This window comes from Homo sapiens, chromosome 1 (genome assembly GCF_000001405.40).
Source record: "Homo sapiens chromosome 1, GRCh38.p14 Primary Assembly".
Taxonomy (NCBI): Eukaryota; Metazoa; Chordata; class Mammalia; order Primates; family Hominidae; genus Homo; species Homo sapiens.
Window position 1 is genome coordinate 200804851 of NC_000001.11, and position 22293 is coordinate 200827143.

General features: G+C 38.0%; 1 protein-coding gene across 7 annotated transcripts in view; it reads left to right on the plus strand.

Moving 5' to 3' along the window:
• CAMSAP2 (calmodulin regulated spectrin associated protein family member 2) overlaps positions 1 to 22293 on the plus strand; it is a 121812-nt gene that overhangs the window by 65958 nt on the left and 33561 nt on the right. For all 7 annotated transcript variants that reach the window (NM_001297707.3, NM_001389638.1, NM_203459.4 and 4 more), the window contains 2 exons: positions 2526 to 2687; positions 10711 to 10794. In NM_001297707.3, the coding sequence (NP_001284636.1) occupies positions 2526 to 2687; positions 10711 to 10794 (246 nt within the window). The remainder of the gene's footprint in view (positions 1 to 2525; positions 2688 to 10710; positions 10795 to 22293) is intronic.

Genomic DNA, 22293 nt, shown 5'->3' on the forward strand with positions numbered 1-22293 from the left:
CATATTATGTTTGTCATTTCTGAAACATATTTTTTTGCTTTGCAACAAAATGACTTAACTCCTGCCAACTGCATGATATGGTAGAAAGAGCACACAGGTTTGGACAAATTGCATAATTGTCTAAACTTCAGTTTCTGCACATATAAAACATAAATGATACTTCCTTTAGAGACTTTTGAGGATTATAGAAAGTGTTTTTTATCTATTGTCTCCAGGCTTATTTCAAAAAATATTTGAAATGAAAGAGTTAATATACTAATAAAGTATTTAGCACAGTATATGGCACATAAGTTAGACTTAGTAAGTAGGAGCCACTGTTGGTTTTATGATTGCCAGTGTTAAGCATTCTGCTTCTTACAAAGCGTCAGCTTTCCTATAAATACTGCTCAGTTTTCTAGAAGCTGGAACTGCCACCTCCTAAACGATCAGAATTCACTTCCTCAACCTCCAGAGTAACCCAGCTCTTGAGTCTTTATAGTAACCAAAAGGCTAGCTTCTTTCTTTCCTTTCCTTTCTTTAGCCCCTGCTAGTTGCCAGATACCACGTTAGATGTAGGGAATAGGAAGATAACTGAGATAATATCCTACAACTGTCTATCTAGAGAAATAGAGTCATATGCAGGTGACTGTGCACATGTCAGAGAAATCAGTGGTTCTCAACCCTGGCTGCTCATTAGCATCACCTGGGGAAGCTGTTTAAAAATACCAGTGCTGATGCCGTACTTTAGATAATTTAGAAATTAATGCAAACAGAAACAATATTCTGTAGGAACCTGTACTCATTGATAGGTTGAGTGAGTCATTTTGATTGGAAAGAGAACTGGAAAAATCTTCACAATCAGAGTAACATTCAAACCAACGACAAAACTTAGTCTGTATTGTTAGGAGGACAACAAGCCAGGGCACAAAAGCTTGAAAACTGGTAGCAGATTGGAGAAGGAAATGGTAGATTCTAAGGCTAGACTAACAAAGCAGCTAATAAGAAAGAAAGAAAGAAACTTTACCTCTTTTAAGGAGTTTAGACTTCGTTATGTAGAAAATGAGGTAGACTTTATGAGAGAATGATATGATGCAATCTCCGATTTGGAAAAAACAGCCGCTAGTTTATAACATTGTCAAAAGTAAATTCCAGATGGAATTAAAGTTATGGAAAAAATAGAGAATAATATTTCTATATTTTGGGGTTGGAGAAGACCTTTATAAACATGTTATCAACTCCAAAGCCATAAAGGAAAACACTGAGATTAACAGATTTTACCAAGTAAATATTTAAAACTCTGCAACAAAAGGTACCCTAAAGTTGAAAGTCTGGAGAAAAACTAGGGGAAAGTATTTGCTACCTCAATGACAGAAGGTTAAAAAGTACTTAATATATAATGAGCTCTTACAAATCAGTTAAGAATAGGCAAAAGATTTGAGCAGGTAGCTTTCCAAAGAAGAAATGCAAATGGTTGCTAAAGCACATAAAAGGATGCTCATCTTCAGTGATAATCAGGATTGTAAAGTCAAACAAGAGTGGGGTCTTCTAAACTTTCATGTTGATACAGATTTTTAAAAGTGAATAATATCTAATGTTGTCAAAAATGTGGAGAAACAGGCAGGCTGATAACGTTGGTGGGAGATAAGTTGGTGTAACCTTTCTAGAGAGTAGATTAATGGTTATCTATCAAAACTTAAATTGTGGTTGCCCTTGGACCCAGTGGCCACAACTAAGAATTATCCCTGGAGAAATACAATGTTGTAACATTGTTGGTAATGCCAAGCAGTGTAAATGTGTACATATTTCATAGGCATTAAACTTTTTTGTAGGAATATATACCAGACTGAAGAAACTGGTGGAGGGAGGGGCACTTCATATACTACTGTAATGTTTTTTTTAGAACTTCCATATAATTGTGTGTGTGTGTGTGTGTGTGTATCTATCTATCTATCTATCTATCTATCTATCTATCTATCTATCTATCTATGCCAAATCTATCTATCTGTGCCAAAGGCTAGAAGTCCTGTTCTGGATGAATTAGATGAGGAAGAAGTTGGAGGCAGGAAAACCAGTTAAAGAATTTTTTACCTTGTTCAAGTGTGAGAAATGTTTGGGTCTGAATTGGAACTGTGACAATCAGAATGAGGAAGAGGGAAGATTTGAAAGATAGAGAATCTATAAACTTGTACTATGTGGGTGAGAAGAATGAGGAAAGACTGTCAAAGATGGTTCTGAAGTCGGTAAGTTATATTGCTGAGTAAATGACCATGACATTATAAAAAATAGGAAAAACAAGAAAAGAAGCATCTTTGGAGTAGAAGATAATGAGTATCTTAAATATAGATCCTCAATAAGTATTTGAACAATAAATTAGTTTGGGTCAGTTAGCTCATCTTTAGCATGTACAATTTATGCTTTCTTATTAAGGCTGGTCTTCTGTAGTTATTCTGCTGCTTGTTAGGAGATGTCATTAACATTTCAAAATATGTAAAAAGCAATTTCTAAATATAATTTTTAAACTATTTGTTCTTGTTTTATATTTTCAGAGTGCACATTTGGCCATGATCGATACCCTCATGATGGCTTATACTGTAGAAATGGTCAGTATAGAAAAAGTAATTGCGTGTGCTCAGCAGTATTCAGCTTTTTTTCAAGCCACAGATCTGCCCTATGATATTGAGGACGCTGTCATGTACTGGATAAATAAGGTAGGATTATACTCACTTGAGTAAATCGCATCTCATAGCCAGAAAACGTGAAATTCTAAATTATACATTGCCACTTCATTACTCTTTTTGTTTCAAATCAAAGTGCAAACTTAAGTTGTAAAATACACTTAAATTTTTTAGTAAAAAAGCTTAAAATGATGAAAATAGTTTTCTGTATACTTAGCAATATTTATGATTACTCTTTTTTTTTTTTTTTTTTTGAGAAGTAGTCTCGCTCTGTCACCCAGGCTGGAGTGAAGTGGCATGATCTCGGCTCACTGCAACCTCCGCCCTTCAGGTTCTAGCAATTCTCATGCCTCGGCCTCCCAAGTAGCTGGGATTACAGGCGTTTGCCACCACACCCGGCTAATTTTTGTGTTTTTAGTGGAGACGAGTTTTCGCCATGTTGGCCAGGCTGGTCTGGAACTCCTGGCCTCACGGTGATCTACCCACCTTGGCCTCCCAAAGTGCTGCAATTACAGGCGTGAGCCACCACGCCTGGCCAATATTTATAATTACTCTTAATGATTAATCTGGTTCATACCAGATTATGAAAAAATTCAGAACACTCCTAATAGTGAACTATACACAGTGGGTGTTCAGTAAATATTTTTTGAATTCATTTCAAGAATGAAATAATTTTCTTACATTTCCAGTTAGGGGATTCTTAGGTTTGCTTGACCAAGTTGCACAAGATCCTATTGATTGTGGATTCCTCTTCTTGGAAATTTTTATGGAGCTGTGATTTGTGCTTTGAAGATGCTTAATTTGTCAGCTTATCACTCCCTTTGCCAATTTGAGTAGTTAATTTGTCTTGATCCACTTTCATTTACAACTGCCAGCCAAAAGAAAATTAAACCTTATCTGAAGACAAGCACTAAACGGATTTAAAAGAAGTTATATCTCCAGGTATCCTTTCTTGAAAGCTGGCATGAAGCTCGTAATAAAAAGCTAAATGTAAAAAACACTATTACAGCTATCTTCATTATCCATAATATCAGTATCATTGTAGAAGGACTGCTTAATACTTTGCCTCTGGAGTTCCTTTATTTCTTCATCTTTAGTAATCTTTCCCTGACTCCTCCTCAGCTGTAGAAAATCACAGTTACATTCTAGACCTATTCATCTTGAGAAACTATGCAACCTTCACATCCCATTACAGACTTCCCATTCTTGAACAGTTTCTCCTATCTTCCTAACCCACTTGCTTTAAATAATAATTTTTAAAATGTTGAACCTCATTATGACTTATAAACTATTGAGCCTATTAATTTCTCACAATCTTATTGGACTTCATATTTGTCCATCTTGAACTTAGATTTTTATAAGTACTCTCAGTTCTTATGTCTCCCCTTCCCTCCCTGTTACTCATTTGGTAACAGCTCAGATGGTTTAGCTTAGTTACCCATTTTATTTCTAACCTGCATTTGCAGAGGCAAATATTGCTGGAGAAATTTACACAAGGAAGTTGGTTTCACTTTAAGTTCATAAGCACAAACTTCCACTGCCAGTCCAACAAATGTGTCCCTAAGTTTGCTTTCCCACGCTTCATGACAACTGTGTTACCCATTTTCCTCTAATTCTCGGACCTTCTGTAACCCTTTCCCTACTACTGTCAGCTAAATTTGCCTTATCTTTTCTTGAGACCAGAGATGGGAAGGCTTTAGGTGGGAATTATCTTCCCTTTATACTAGCAAATCTGTAAACAGTTTTGGATCGCACTCATTGCCTTTCTTTTGTCCTACTGTTACAATGAAGAATTTCCCCCTTCACATCAAACGTGAGTTTTCTACTACTTGCTCTAGAACTTTCTTCCCTTTTTTGTGGTCATTGGTCCTGTACTTCAGTTCTTACTTTTTAATGTACATAAGAATTACCTGGTGTATTAGTCCATTTTCTTCTTGTAACAGAATACCTGAGCCGGGCTCAGTGGCTCACGCCTGTAATCCCAGCACTTTGGGAGGCCAAGGCAGGTGGGAGGTCAGGAGTTCAAGACCAGCCTGGCCAACATGGCGAAACTCCGTCTCTACTAAAAATACAAACATTAGCTGAGCATGGTGGCAGATGCCAGTAATCCCAGCTACTCAGGAGGCTGAGGCAGGAGAATCACTTGAACCTGGGAGGCGGAGGTTGCAGTGAGCCGAGATCGCGCCAGTGCACTCCGGCCTGGGTGACAGAGCGAGATCCTCTCAAAATAATAATAATGATAATAATAATAACAGAATACCTGAAACTGGGTGATTTATAATGAAAAGGAATTTATTTCTTATAGCTATGGAGGCTAAGAGATCCCAGGTGAAGAGGCCACTGGTGAGAGCTTCCTGCTAAGTGGGGACTCTGCAGAGTCCTGAGGCAGCACAGGGCATCATCACATGTCTGAGCATGTTAGCTCAGGTCTGTCTTCCCCGTCTTACAAAGCTGCTAGTGATAGCCCGTTGATCCATTGATCTGTGAATTGGGTCTGCTCTCATAACCCAGTCACCTCTTAAAGGTCCCACCTTTCAGTACTGCCACAGTGGAGATTAAGTTTCAACATGAATTTCAGAGGGGGGCAAATATTCAAACCATAGAACCTGGGAACGTGTTAAAATGGCTGATCTGAATGAGGAGGTGTCTAGGGTGAAGCAGGAGAGTCTGCATTTCTAACAAGCTCCAGGTGATACTAATGCTGCTGGTTTGGGACCACACTGTTATTTGTTCACTCCCACATTGTCTGACTCTTCCGGTCTATTGGATCATTCTTATAAGAATACAGATTTGGGCCGGGCGTGGTGGCTCACACCTGTAATCCCAGCACTTTGGGAGGCCCAGGCAGGCGGATCACCTGAGGTTGAGAGTTCAAGACTAGCCTGGCCAACATGGTGAAACCCCGTTCTGAAAATATAGTAATTAGCTGGGTATGGTGGCGGGTGCCTGTAATCCCAGCTACTTGGGAGGCTGAGGCAGGAGAATTGCTTGAACCTGGGAGGCGGAGGTTGCTGTGTGCCGAGATGGCGCCACGGCACTCCAGCCTGGGTGACAGAGCGAGACTCCATCTCAAAAAAAAAAAAAAAAGAATACAGACTTGGAGACTGGGGGCGGTGACTCACGTCTGTAATCCCACTACTTTGGGAGGCTGAGGCTGATGGATCATTTCAGGTCAGGAGTCGGAGACCAGCCTGACCAACATGGCGAAACCCTGTCTCTACTAAAAATACAGAAATTAGCTGGGCGTGGTGGCACGCGCCTGTAGTCCCAGCTACTTGGGAGGCTGAGACAGGAGAACCACTTGAACCTGGTAGGTGGAGGTTGCAGCGACTCGAGATTGCACCACTGCACACCAGCCTGGGCAACAAAGCAAAACTCCATCTCAAAAAAAAACCAAAAAACAGACTTGCTCTAGTGTCTTCCATCCTAAGAAACAAAACTTCCCCATCCAAATACAACCCTATTTCTCCATACAACAGACTCTCTCAAGAGTTGTTTGCTATTTCGTTAGCCTGCTCTTCTCTCTCTCTCCCATACCCATTCCTAACCCGAAATTGTTCCTGAGTTGGTCAAAAAGGCAAATCCAATCAATATTTTTCTGTCCTTAATTTAAACTCAATCTTTACTTCTAAAGCATGAACCATCTTTTTGAAGTTTCAGTGGAAAACCCAAGGTGTTTACCAAGCCCTCCTCTACTTGGTGGGATTTGAACAACAAACTCTGTCTCCCCTGTGGTGGCAGTTTCTTTGGCTTCTCAGCAGTTTTTTCTCCCTGCACTTCTTAGAATCTTTCCTACACATGCACAGTCCAGGGCTCAGCCAAGAGTTGAGGGAAGTTTATATGCAGATTTTGGGCCTCCCCCATTACCCTTCCTAGAATATTCCTCCTCAGTATCCAGCTACTCTAGCAGTGCCAGATTTCCCTTGATTCCTCCTGCCAACCAGACTACAGTTTTCTCCTTGAGTTCTAGTCACAGTGCACTGTTGAATTGAGGGTAAGGCCATATAAACATGGATTTCACTCAGTGTGTTTCTTTCTTTCCAAAGTTGAATTCTTTCTTGCTTCTACTTGCTCTTGGTTGCTCACCAGTACCTCCAACAGATGCTTTATATATTTTGTCCAGAGTTTATAATTGCTCTCTGCGGGGATTAGTGTGATGCATGCTATTCCACTATTACCAGAACCAGAATTCTACAAGTATCTTTTTATAGTGCAGCTTGGATCATGCCATTCTTTTGCTCAAAACTCTTCAGTGACTTCACTTTACCCTTAAAATAAAATGTAAAATTTATCGTGGCCTGCAAGGTACCACCTAACCTGACCCTGTGTACTCCATTGTAGGCTCATGGCCACTGTTCCCCTTTCTCACTTCTTTGACTTCCTTCCCGCTATATGCCCTTTCTCACCTCTGAACCGTTGAACCTCATGTTTCCTATTCCTGGGCAGCTCAGCTCCCAGCTTTCTGCATGGCTTAGTGCTTCTGCTCTCCGTCAGCTTGGATAGCACTTTTTCCTGACAACCTTATCTAAATGAAGTGCCTCTATCAACCCCTTGTTTTCTATACCCTAACACTCTACTTTTTTTCTTTCATAGCACTTTTCAGACTAATTACTTTTCTTAATCATTTAATTTTTTAAAATCTGTCTTCCTCACTAGAATAGTCTATGTGAGGATAGGTACAATGAACTTTTTATTTCTAGTGCCTACGATGACCTTCTTCTTTTCAGTTTTAGTATCTAGACCAGCACAGTGTTTGACAAAGAGATTATATTTAATAAACACTAAACTAATAAAGAGAAGGATAGTTTAAGCCATTGAATTAAGCTAGGCACTTTAGAACTTTGGAAATCTACACAAAATTAAGGAAATCACTTAACTAGGAATGTTCAGCACCTTTATGCAGTCATATCCACCTCATTCCATTTTCAAATTAGGTTTAAAACAATTTGATTCAACCTGAACTGCAGTGTATTTTTTTTCCTTGATCCATTCTACCAGCCCCAGCATTATTTTTTATTCTCGCATTATGACTTTACCCTTGCCTCTCAGATTTAGTATATGTTTTCTCCTTCTGGCTCTTGTTTTGGCTCGTCCTAACCCAGTTGCCTTTTTTCCTGGATAATGCATCCACAAGTATAAAAAAACCTACCAAAGAAAAATGGCAATAACATGGCTAAAATAATTATCAGCATAGTGGCTAAAATGAGTTTAAACTTAAAAAAGCAAAATCACAGAAGACAAGATTATATTGAATGATTGAATCATGCAGAGGTACACAAAAATCATGAATATATTAACCTTATATTATTTGGCTCTACCTCTGTTTCCTATCTCATTTTGTGACTTCTTTGGGTTCACTATGTCATTCTGTTACTTAAACACGCAAGTATTTTTCCTACCACAGGGCTTTTGCTTATGTTTTTCATTCTCTCTCTGGAATGCTCTTTCCTCTACTTTTCCCATAGCCAGCTTGTTCTCTTTAAGATCTCAGCTTAAAGTTACTTCTTAAAGAAATTGTCTTAGTCTGTTTGGGTTGTTATAACAAAATGCCTTAGCCTAGGTAATTTATAAACAGCAGAAATTCATTGCTCATAGTTCTGAAAGCTGGGAATTCCCAGATCAAGGTGCCAGCAGATTCAGTTTTTGGTCAGGACTTGCTCTCTGCTTCAGAATGGCAGCTTCTTGTTGTGTCCTCACGTGGCCGAAAGGGCCACTGTGCTCCTTCAACCCCCTTTATAAAGGAACCAACCCCATATGCAAGGGCAGAGCCTCATGACTTAATCATGCCCCGAAAGGCTACACCTCTTAATATTAACACATTGGGGATTAAGTTTCAAATATGAACTCTGGGGGGCAAACATTTAGACCAAAGCGAAGGCCTTGTCTGATATAACCATCTTTTCTAAAATAGATCTTCCTGCTCCCATTATTTTCTACTCACATTTTAATGTATTTATAGCATTTACAAATGGTTTTTGTTGTTGTTCTATCTCCCCTGCTTCATGAGGACAGGAATCACTTTGGCTTTGTAGTCCATTGTATACCTAGCCTCTTAATACAGTATCTGGCACATAACTGGCATTCAGTAGATATCTGTTGAATGTGCACATACATGAGTGAATGGTGGTTTAAAATGTTAATTTGTGACCACTTTGCTTTTTGGACAGAATCAGATAAAAACCTCTTTAAAAATGAAGGTATTTCCTCAGTGGGGAAAAAAATAAAAACAAGGATATTTCCAAACTGGCAGATCAATTACGACTACCTGACAATGAATTAGAAAGTGTTTGTTTTTTAACTTAAAGGGAATGAGGCTGGGTCTGGTGGCTCATGTCTGTAATCCCAACACTTTCGGAGGCTGAGGCAGGTGGATTGCTTGAGTCCAGGAGTTTAAGACCAATCTGGGAAACAAGGTGAAACTTGTCTCTACCAAAAACAAAACAAAAAACAAAAATTAGCTAGGCATGGTGGTACACGCCTGTGGTCCCAGCTATTCGAGAGGCCGAGACAGGAGGATTGCTTGAGCCCAGGAGACAAAGGTTGTAGTAAGTCGAGATCACGCCACTGCACTCCAGCCTGGCTGACAGAGTGAGACTGTGTTTCCAAAAAAAAAAAAAAAAAGGTGGCGGGGGGAGGGGTGGGCGGGTGGGGAATGAAAATACTACAAAACAAACAAATAGAAAACATTATAAACTTTCCCAGGATTTGGTCCTGTCTTCTTCCCCTCCCCGAATTGGTAAAGAGACCAAAATGCTTAAAGATACATGGGTGTTATAAAACTGCTTTGTAACACAATGTATTACCATGATAGAAAATATGGGGCTGGGCATGGTGGCTCATGCCTTTAATCCCAGCACTTTGGGAGGCCGAGGTGGGTGGATCACCTGAGGTCAGGAGTTTGAGACCAGCCTGGTCAACATTGTGAAACCCCATCTCTACTAGAAATATTTAAAAAATTAGCCGGGCATGATGGCGGGCGCCTGTAATCCCAGTTACTCAGGAGGTTGAGGCAGGAGAATTGCTTGAACCCAGGAGACGGAGGCTGCAGTGAGCTGACACAGTGCCACTGCACTCCAGCCTGGGCGACAGTGTGAGATTGCATCCCAAAAAAAAAAAAAAAAAAAAAAAAACAAGAAGAAGATATGAATGATTTTGTCAACATGTCACACTAAAACTACAACTCTTCCTGTTAGGAACACCTAAAAATGCTTGATAAATATAATTAGAAAAGTTTATACTGCAGAGTTGAGTTTAAAGGAAGAAAAGGGAATTCTTAGGTGCCAGAAACAAAGTGGGGACTGAAAGTTTTGGTGGCTAATGGCATTAATATTTTCTACAGTGCCATGATTAATAAATTTGAACTTTTATTGATTGTTACTAGAGTGACCTTAAAATCATTAACTCAAAACCAAAAATTATCTAAAGTCTTCTCAAGAAATAATTTATGCACCATGTAGACTTTTTTTTTTTTAAACTGTTTTTGGATTATGGACTGCTTGAATAATCTGATGAGAAAGAAATTAAGCTCTCTCCTCAAAAAGTTTTCATATGCAGAAATTTTGCATGTGTTTTAACTGTGGCATTATGACTGCCCTAAACTCCCCCATGATCATGGATATGTCTGAAATCATACCTTAAGAACTTGATTCACAGTGTTATTTATTGATAACAACAACATTAATTTTAGGGAAAATAACTTTCATTTACTAGTTCTAAAATAGATTGTAAAATTTTTACTTGATATTAGTTTGCTTCCTAAGCATTAAAACTGACATTACCAAGTACCTTTTTTCCCTTAGCGCTCCAACCAGTTCCTGACATACAGTGTCTGCTCAACAACTATTTGATAAATTAATGAATTCTAGAATATCAAATAAGTACCCATAAACTATTTTTTTCTGATTGTGAAGCTGAAATTTTCTTTATTTGAGTGAGACTGATATTTGACATCAGGGCTCTGACTATAGGCATCTTAATGTGTGTTATTTTATTGTTATATTTGAATGTAAATTCAAAAAAAGAATAAAAATTCAAACTGATATTTTTATATTTTAAGGTAAATGAACATTTGAAAGACATAATGGAACAAGAACAAAAACTGAAAGAACATCACACAGTTGAAGCTCCAGGAGGTCAAAAGGTATTTATTTCAAAAACAAAAAGGTGCCTTTATGAGACTGTATATATGTTCACATATTTGTATTATTTTGGGAAATGTTAATTGTGTTTATTAAATTATTTTTTAGTGGTGTTAACTGTACCCTAGAAAGCCATACTGTAAACACTAAGTAAATAGAAGTACAAAATGAAGGTTAATTGGATGATGGTGTTTGTAAAAAAATATATTAATGACTAGAACTCAAGTTCTGAGGTTCTTTTGTCAAAAATAACAGTTTGCCTTTCTTTGGTAAAATGTGTAAAACAACAAGGAAACAATTTTAAATGTTCAGGCTTTATAATGACATGCAATGCAGCAAGACCAACATTTAAAACAAAATTCCCAGAATTTCACTGGGTGCGATGGCTCACGCCTGTAATACCAGCACTTTGGGAGGCCAAGGCAGGCAGATCATGAGGTTAGGAGTTCAAGACCAGCCTGACAAACATGATGAAGCCCCATCTCTGCTAAAAATACAAAAATTAGCTGGGCATAGTGGCGTGTACCTGTAATCCCAGCCACTCAGGAGGCAGGAGAATCGCTTAAACTCAGGAGGCAGAGGTTGCAGTGAGCCGAGATCATGCCACTGCACTCCAGCCTGGGGGACAGAGCGAGACTCCATCTCAAACAAAAAAAATATATATATAGGGCCAGGCGTGGTGGCTCACACCTGTAATCCCAGCACTTTGGGAGGCTGAGACGGGCGGATCACCTGAGGTCAGGAGTTTGAGACCAGCCTGCCCAACATAGTAAAACCCCGTCTCTACTAAAACTACAAAAAATTAGCCAGGCGTGGTGGCCGGTGCTTGTAGTCCCAGCTACTCGGGAGACAGAGGCAGGAGAATCGCTTGAACCCAGGAGGCGGAGGTTGCAGTGAGCCAAGATCATGCCACTGCACTCCAGCCTGGGCAATAAGAGCAAAACTTCATCTCAAAAAAAAAAAATATATATATATATATATATGTATATATATACACACACATATATATGCACACACATACACATGTGTATATGTGTGTATATGTACATGCACACATATATGTGTATATATACACACGCACATATATGTGTGTACACACACACGCGTGTATATATGTGTGTACACACACACGCGTGTATATATGTGTGTACACACACACGCGTGTATATATGTGTGTACACACACACGCGTGTGTATGTGTGTACACACACACGCGTGTGTATGTGTGTACACACACACGCGTGTGTATGTGTGTACACACACACGCGTGTGTATGTGTGTACACACACACGCGTGTGTATGTGTGTACACACACACGCGTGTGTATGTGTATATATCTACACATATATACATATATGTGTACCCACATACACACGTATATATGTGTATACCCACATACACACGTGTATGTGTATACACACACGTATATATGTGTATACACACACACGTATATATGTATACACACACGTGTGTGTATATACACGTATATATGTGTATATATACACATACACACATACACACACGTGTGTGTATATACACACACACACATGTGTGTGTGTATACACACATACACACATATGTGTGTGTATATACACACATACACACATATGTGTGTGTATATACACACATATATATATATTTTCCCAGAATTCCAAAATGTACAGTATGGTTGTTCTGTGAAGAAAGAAGAAACATTAACATGGATTTATTCTTTTAAAAATCTCAAACAGACTTTTAGAATTTTCTTCTCTGAAAATTTAGTTGTGTGTTTGTCATATGCTAAGACCAAAAGCATATTTTCTATGATATAGTATATCTTACGTCTTTTAAAATGTATTGTAATTGGAACCCTTTAAACATGTTGTATAGTATTAGAATTGAGGTATAAGAAATTGTAATCATTCAGAAACTTTAATCTCCATTTGGTTTAAAGTTTCTTCATTATTACACAGTACTTCTATTATTTTGAGCTTATTCTTATTCCACTATTCACTGATCTCTCCATAAAAAGAGAAAGAAGGGAAAAAGGAAGGAAAAGCGAAGCTGTTCTGTCTCTTATCAACTTCAATAGAAAAATCTTGTGGAGGACCACGTACAATTTTGTCTGATTTTGATGTTTTGGGATCACAATGCTTTCCCCCATTTGGTTAACTGACTGGCTCCTGAAAATACGATTTGTGCTTAATCCTTCATTCTAACTCTGTTGAGGTCCTTTACCCTAAAGGTAGATTGGAATGGAATTCTCCTTTTTCCCCATCACCCCAGATTATGTTTCATTTCCCTGCTTCCAGCCAATTTCTGTCCTTGCCTCTTCCCTGTTACGTCCCACAGTCTTTTCTTGTCAGCTTCCTTCCCTTTCTCTTTTTCATAATCATAGGAGCTGAAACTTTTGCCTTGGAGATATGTGTAATCCTGCCCCTCAATTTTGCTCCTGGCTTTTTATCAGTAATAAGGTTGAAGTGGCATCATTCTAAATTATAACACTAATGAAATTTCTCTATAGAAATCTTGTGTATTATATATAATGGTTAAATTCTGTAGTATTGCATACACATTATGAACCAAATGGGGATTTTATATGATGACAGAGGGCCCAAGAAACATTTTTTTAATGAAAAAAATGCCATTTGTATTTCAAACAATCAAATAAAGTGATCTTGAAGAAAAACTGTATGGAATCTAGACATTGTTGTATTACATGGCTTTTACTTTTTCACAGCACTTAGCTCCATGCAGTTGCACGTATTAACTGTACAACTAGTATTTGGTGAATGGGTGACTGAGTGAATAAAGAAATGATTGTGCAATTCATTTTTAAATATTTGATTAGTATACACTTGTAGTTTAGCACATACATAGCATTTACCCCTTCATTTTCAAATGAATTTTATCCTTTTCCCCCCATTGTTTTTGAAAATTGAATCTTTGTGAAAATAAGGGTTAATTTAACATAATCTTACTGTAGGTTCAGGTGTTGTCATTATGAAGAAACACACAATCACAGAATAAACTAGGGAAAGGAATCTTGGTCTGTTACCTAACAATGGGATTTTTGGCATTTGAACTGTGTACTTGGTTTGACTGGAAATATTATCATTCCATTCTTGGTTTTTAATTCTGTAAAAGCAAAATTCATGCTCCTTTTCTTCTTTTACAAATGAGAGAGAAAATGACTTGCTCTTTTTATTGCTATACAGTTGGTAAGAAGTTGCCACTCTTTCCATCTACTTCAGTCAGCTTTTCTAGTGAGGCGTACTCAGGAGCCTAGCCCTGTTGCCTATTGCTTGTCCAGCTATAGACAGAGCCCGTGGTATTGAATAATAACATATCTTACCTTTTGTCCTTGCCCAACTACTCTTAACTCAGATGTCCAGTAGAATTTGTTTTATGAAATATCTTTTTATAACCATATTCTTGGTAAAATATATGCACATGTTGAAGGATACTTGTACTATATATTATTAGGGTTGGACTGAAATGAAAGATTTCAAAGGTATTTGTTTAGGGTATTAGATCCTCCAGTGATGTATTTCTGATCATTGGATTGGGTGGTGTCCTAAGAGAAAGGCATTTTAAATAGTGTCATGTCCTAGGAAAATGTTTTGTTTAAACAGTTTACTAATGTTATTTTCTCTTTTTTTTCCAAGTTGCTCATTTTGCTTCTAATACTTCTTTTGATTGTAAATTAGGGTGCCTAATTAAATTTGAATGCCAGAGAAACAACAAATAATTTTTTTATAAGTTGCACAGGTGTCTTGTATTGTGTGAGCATCTTGTATTTATTTGCTAAATCTGGAAGCCGTACTTGAACGATTTCTGAAGTTTATAGCCAAGATGACATTAAGTCCAACATTCATTCTCTTGAAGAGTTTGTATAAAGTACTATGGTAAAATGAGTATTGCACATAAAGTCAGGCTAGTTCTGCCACTAAATAGCTTCATGACCTTTACAAAGGCACTTGACCTCTCTGGGCCTTGGGTTTGTTTTTTTTTAATCTGTAAAAATTAGAAGGTTGGATTAAATGGTTTCTAAATTCTGTAATTAAAAAGATGCTCAGTTTTTCCCTTCTCGATATGTTAGTAAACATGAGACAAAAACAAAAGGTTGGCAAAAATAGTAAATAGTTATCATAGACTTTTCTATATGTATATTACTAGTAGATTTATGCTAACTGTATGCATGAAATATCTAGGAGTACCTTCTAGAGGATGTGGGACTTTAACAGGGCCTTAGTAGATTTCATGATACTAGGTCATAAGGAACAATATAAGTAGTGACACTAAGTCACAAGTGAAGTCACATGTGGGAATTACTGAGTGGATGAATTTGGCAGAATCAGTTTTGAAAGAGCTATGAATTCATGAGTTTGTATTCTAATACTAACTATATAGAGAATGAAGTTTAATGTTTCTCAAAAAATTTTTTTTTTTTTTTTGAGACGGAGTTTTGCTCCGTCACCCAGGCTGGAGGGCAGAGGCATGATCTCGGCTCATTGCAACTTTGGCCTCCTGGGTTCAAGCAATTCTCGTGCCTCAGCCTCCCTAGTAGCTGGGATTACAGGTGTGCACCGCCATGCCCACCTAATTTTTTGTGTATTTTTAGTGGAGATGGGGTTTCGCCATGTGCTGGTCTTGAGCTCCCGACTTCAGGTGATCCCCCAGTTTGGCCTCCCAAAGTGCTGGGATTATAGGTATGAGACACCACCCCAGCCAATGTTTCTCAAAGTATTAAAGATACATGTTTACTTAATGTGGCATTTGCTACTTTTTAAAAAGAAATATTTGTGAGGTATTTTGCAAGGGAGTAGGAATTAGGTGAAGGAATTACCTTTGGAGAAAAGACATCCACAGAGCTCTAATTGCTTTTCACTTTAAGGTGTATCTCAATATAGACTACACTTTCCCCCTGTGAGAGAGTAGGTAAATGCTTATACCTCTTTGCCTGATTACTTCAGCCCTTATGAATTTCTCCCTTGACTAAAATTCCTTAACAGTTACAAACTATAACCCACTTTTTTCTCCCTCAAATGCTGTTTCTTCAAATAGTACTATTTGAGAGAAGGGCTCCGAAGTAAAATACATTTGGGAAATGCTGCCTAGTCTATGCCCCTTTAAGAATGTTGCAATCCATTTCAGTACATTAAAGTCCCAGTCAAAGAGACTGTTTAGCCATTTTCCAAACATTTTTGATCTTTGAACTGTTTTATAAATGACTTTTACTAGCATCCCATAGAATTAGTGTTCTTCAGTGCACAATTTAGAAAACGGTAATTTTTAACGTATAATTTTGTACTTAAGTTGTCTATTTAATATGTATATAAATATATAAAACATTTAATGTTCAAATATAGCGCATCATTCTCAGATACATCATTTCATTTGACTCTTAGATTTACCTCGATTTCTTTTATACCATTATTTTAGTTAACTGTGAAGACATAGCCTGTCTAAATTAGATAATTTTTGTTTTGAATCCTACCCTTAAGATTCTGTTTTATAATTATAAATCTATCCATATGTAGCCTGCTTCTTCTTCTTCTTTTTTTTTTTTCCTTTTGGAGACAGGGTCTCACTCTATTGCCCAGGCTGGAATGAAGTAGCGAGATCATGGCTCACTGCAGCCTTGATCTCCTGGGCTCAAGCAATCTTCCCACCTCAGCCTCCCAACTACTTGGGACTACAGGCATGTGCCACCATGCCTATCTAATTTTTTTACTTTTTGTAGAGTCAGGGTCTCACCATGTTGCCCAGGCTGATCTCAAGCTCCTGAGCTCAAGCAGTCCGCCTGCCTTGACCTCCAAAGTGCTGGGATTACAGGCCTTTGGCCAATGTGTAGTCTTCTGTGGTCAATGCTAATTCATTTCTTCTTCTTCTTTTTTTTAAAATGTTTTTTACATTAATAGGGATGGGGTTTCGCCATGTTGGCCAGGCTGGTCTCAAACTCTTGGCCTCCAGCGATCCACCCGCCTCGGCCTCCCAGAGTGCTGGGATTACAGGCGTAAGCCACCACACGTGGCCATTTCTTTTTTTTATCCCTAATATCAACATACCTTTTCTCTTTCATAATAATTTACTTGCCCTTACAGGAAACACAACAACCTAGAGTACGTCCCTGTTCTATTATTAACTCATTTATTATAGTTAAGAGAACTTGGCATTTTAAACATTTTTTTGAATTCAGAGATGGTACCATGGTTTTAATCTTTACCTAAGAGTATGATAACCATTAGATTTCTCTAACAGTTTTATAAATTAATAATCTTGTGCATTTGGACACAAGACCCTATAAAGACTTGGATTGGTATAGATCTAATATAACTTTTAAAGAACTTTTATTTTATTTTGAAATAATTACACCCTTACAAAAAGTTGCAGGAATAGTAAAAAGAATTCTCAAACTCTGTTCAGATTCATCAGTTTTTCAACAGATTCATCAGTTTTTCAAACTGAAAATTTCCTTTATCATTCTGTCTCCCTCTCTCTCTCTCTCTCGCTCTACACACACACACACACACACACACACACACACACACGTAAATTGTTCTACCACATTTCAAAGAAGGTTGCATATATCATGCCCCTTTACCCCTTAATACTTCAATATATATTTCCTAAGAACAAGGCAATTCATTTCCATAACGACAGTACAGGTAATTTAATGTCAGTATAATACTGTATCATTTATGTTCCCATTTTATCATTAATTTATTTCGCTGTCATATCCCTAGTCTTCTTTAAACTGAAGCAGTTCTTTAGCTTTTCTTTTCTTTGTGGCCTTGACATTTTTAAAGAATCGGGCTATTTTAATAGAATACTTCTCAATTTGGCTTTTTCTAATATTTCCTCATTATTAGATGAAGGTTGTGCTTTTCAGGCTAGAATGCTTTGTAAATTGTGTCCTTATCACAATGTAATATCCAGAGGCACATGATATCCATTTACCCCTGCTAGATAATGTTCATTTTGATCAGTTGGTTAAGATATTCTCTGGTTTCTTGACTACAGGGTTACATTAGTCCTCTTTTATCCTCAGAGGATATGTTCCAAGACCCCCAGTGCATACCTGAAACCTCAGATAGTACTGTATCTACACTTTGTTTTTTCCTATACAGCAATGGGCAGGTAGCATATACAGCATGGAATGCTGGACAGAGGTATGATTCCCTTCCCAGACTGGATGGAATAGGACAGCATGTGGTTTCATCACACTCCTCAGAACAGCATGCAATTTAAAACTTATGAGTTGTTTATTTCTGGAATTTTTCATTCATTTTCAGACAGTGACTGTGAATAACTGCAGATACAAAACTATGGGTAAGGGGGGGACAGCTATATTATGTTTCCGTTTGTAATAGGTAATTTGAGAGGAGTTACTCTACCACTGTAAATAGCCTATCTTTCTTGAAAGCTTCCCCTCATCCTAGATTTAGCATTCATTGAATATACCTACCTGAATTAATTTTACTATGATAGTCACAAATTTATAATTTTCTAACCCCTTCATTTATTCCATATTTATTAGTTAGCATTCTGTTATAAGCAAGTTTTTCTTCTTCCACCCATCTACCTGTCTATATAATATTTCTCTACTATCTGAATGAGCTTATGGATATGTAATGGGTTATAATCAGTTTTTGTCCTTATGTATTTACTTTTAAAATTATTACAGAATTATTTTAGATTTACAGGAAAGTTTCAAAGATAGTACAACTTCACCCAGTTTTCTCTAATGTTAACATCTTACGTAATTGGAGCCCATTTGTGAACAGTAAGAAAGTAACATTGGTACATTATTATTGAGTACACTACAGACTTTATTTAGATTCTACTGGTTTTCCACTGATGTCCTTTTTAAATATTTGTCAGGTGTTTTGTAGTGTTCTTCAATTTGGGTTTGTCTGATATTTCTCATGGTTAGACTGGAGTTACAGGTTTTTTGAGAAGACTACCAGAGAGGTCATATATCATATCATATATTGTATCACGGGGTACATGATAAGAACATGATTTAACACTAGTGATATTAACCATGATCCCTTGGTTAAGGTAGTGTTTGTCAGGTTTCTCCATTATAAATTTACTGGTTTTCCCTTCTTATTTTTGGAAGTGGGTCACCACCTCCATCCTGCACTCCAAAGGAGGGAAATTAAGCTCACTCCCTGAAAGGGAGAATACTTGCATATACTATTGGGGATTCTTCTGTAAGGAAGATTTGTGTCTTCTTCCCCATTTATTTTTTATATTCAATCATTTATTTATATCAGTATGGACTCATGTATACTTAATATTTTATGCTTTGAGTTACAATCTAATACTGCGTTGTTTATTTTGTTGCTCAAAATTTTACAGCATCAGCCACTGAGAGCTTTTTGGGGTTGGCTTTGGTATCTCTTGGATATGCCCCAATCCTTTTGTTTTTTGAGCACTTCCTTACTTTCTGGCACTACAGAATGCTCCAGGCTCATCTTGTTCTTTCCTTGACCTAAAATTAGCTATTTCTTTATTTTGATGCTCAAATGGTCTTAGATTTGGCCAACGGGAGTCCCTTCAGACTGACTCCTGTGCTTTTGATATGCCCCCATTCATCCATCTCTTTTTTTTTTTTTTGCCCCTCCTTATTTAATTTCTAGCTCAACAAGATGTTTCAGATTCATTTTGTAGTTTCCTTGCCATAATCCTAAAATCAGCCATTTCTTCAGTAAGTCTTAATTCTTTTTTATGGAAAACAGTATTTAGCAACTGTAAAATCTGGGCACTAAGTGGCTCATTGCTACAGGAATATCATTACTTCTAGGCCCTATTTCAGTAGACAGAGTTCAGAAATAAAATTTTAAAAATACACAAACATGAGTTCATATATAAACCTCCAATTCCAATCAAACTCCACAGAGTTCTTCCTGGCTTCCCCTATTCCATGCAGGACTTCCCCTTCCACAGTGAGAACTCAGGCTTCCAACAGCATTAATATATTTTACTTATTTGCTCAGTCCTACAATACATATACAGTAGTTTCAGAATTGCTATACTCATACCAATATGAAAAATAAACCTACTGGCCGGGCATGGTGGCTCAAGCCTATAATCCCCGCACTTTGGGAGGCCGAGGCGGGTGGATCACTTGAGGTCAGAAGTTTGAGACCAGCCTGGCCAACATGGTGAAACCCCGTCTCTACCAAAAATACAAAAATTAGCCAGGTGTGTTGGCATGCGCCCGTAATCCCAGCTACTTGGGAGGCTGAGGCAGGAGAATTGCTTGAGCCCGGGAGGCGGAGGTTGCAGTGAGCCGAGATCGTGCCAGTGTACTCCAGCCTAGGTGACAGAGTGAGACTCTGTCTCAAATAAATAAATAAATAAATAAATTTAAAAACCTACTAAGAAGAATTTAAGATTTGTTTGCAATTTTTTTTTAGACTAATAGTATATAGTCAAAGTACAGTGTTCTTAAGTTGTTTCCCTCTGCCCCCGCCTTCACTGTGGTTATATTATTCCTTTGAAATACATTTGTGTTAATTGGTTTCTGTATTCTTTCCATTTTAGCGATCTTTTTTGACACCATCCTTGTTAACTTTTGTTTTTTGAATATGTAGAACATTGACATAATTCCAAAAATCAGAACTATATAAATGGTATACTCAGAGAAGTATCAATCCCTCCCCTATCTCTTCTACCCCTTACTTATTCCACATGTACTCCCTCCCAGCCCTTCTAAATGGACCAAGCACGTATGTGCATGTTTGTTTCTCCTCCTTTCTAGCACAAAACATAACATATTTATTCTTTTGCAGTTTGCTCTTTTCAGTAACTGTATATCCTGGAAATTACTCCATACGGTCCCTAGAGATCATTCTTTCTTTCTTTCTTTCTTCCTTTTTTTTTTTTTTTGAGACAGAGTCTTGCTCTGCCACCCAGGCTGGAGTGCAATGGTGCGATCTCGGCTCACTGCAACCTCTGCCTCCCAGGTTCAAGCGATTCTTCTGCCTCAGCCTCCCAAGTAACTGGTACTACAGGCGAGCGCCACCACACCTGGCTAATCTTTGCATTTTTTAGTAGACACGGGGTTTCGCCATGTTGGCCAGGCTGGTCTCGACCTCCTGACCTCGTGATCTACCCGCCTTGGCCTCCCAAAGTGCTGGGATTACAGGTGTGAGCTACTGTGCCCGGCCAATCATTATTTCTTAAAGCAGCATAGTGCTGCCTTGTGAATATGTGCCATAGTTTCTTCAACTATGTACCTATGTGTAGGCATTTAAGTAGTTTCCAGTATCTTGCTATTGCAAATTGTGCTGCACAGAATACTGTTATATGTGGCCTTTTGTATTTTGGATATGTATTTTCAAGGTAAATTTCCTAGAAGTTGGACTGCTAGATTGAAGGGTAAATGCATACTGTATGTAGTTTTGTTAAATGTTGACGAAATCCCCTCCAAAAGAGCTTGTACCATTTTATATTCCATCAGCGATTCGGCATAACTTTTGGATCTGCAACAGCTAGGAGATTAAGTCTAATGGCTGGGCGTGGTGGCTCACACTTGTAATCCCAGCACTTTGGGAGGCCTAGGTGGGAGGTTCACTTGAGGTCAGGAGCTCAAGACCAGCCTGGCCAACATGGTGAAACCCCGTCTCTACCAAAAAATACAAAAATTAGCCAAGCATGGTGGTGCATGCCTGTTGTCCCAGCTACTAGGGAGGCTGAGGTGGGAGAATTGCTTGAACCTGGGAGGCAGAGGTTGCAGTGAGCTGAGATAGCTCCGCTGCCCTCTACCCTGGGTGACAGAGGGAGACTGTCTCAAAAAAAAAAAAAAAGATTAAATCTAACAAGTTAACAAGTCATGCAGTAACAAGTCACAGCCATGATTAACTCCCTGAAGGACCCCAACTCTTTGAGGTCTCCAATAAAGACCACACCAAACCAATATCCTCCTGGAACGGCCTGAGAGCACCTAGAAGTAGTTCAGGAATTATCCTACCTTGCCAGAATGTTGTAGATACCCAGAGGAAGAGTATTATTTGGAGAGTATTAATGGCAAGTCCTAAAACAACTAGCCAAAATTCAGGGTGAGCCAAACATGTATTATAAAGACAATTGAAAGGAATATTTGAAATTAGAACTATTCCAGAAAATCTGGACTGCCTAGGTTGGCCCCTTTGTCGGTAGAAACTTAATAAAAGTTTTTTCACCTGTTATCCATGGGTTTTAAAAAACCCTTTGTTTCTTGCCTGGTGGTCCTGATAAAAAGAAAAAAAAAATCAAAAAACCTTTGTCCTCGTGGTTATTTACATCTTAAAACAGGATTTGATGTTGCAGTTTGCCTAATTCTTCCCTGAAAACCAAAAGGATAGTTGCTGATCACTTCAGAAATGGCGTTATTCTTCAGCAAGGAACTTATGCTATGTATTTGAGCTTTTTGAAGCATACGTATATAAGTATGCATAGTATATTTATTTGTTCTTTTAGTACATTTACTCTTTAGTTAAATTTCCTTCACACAGCCAATCTGTGGG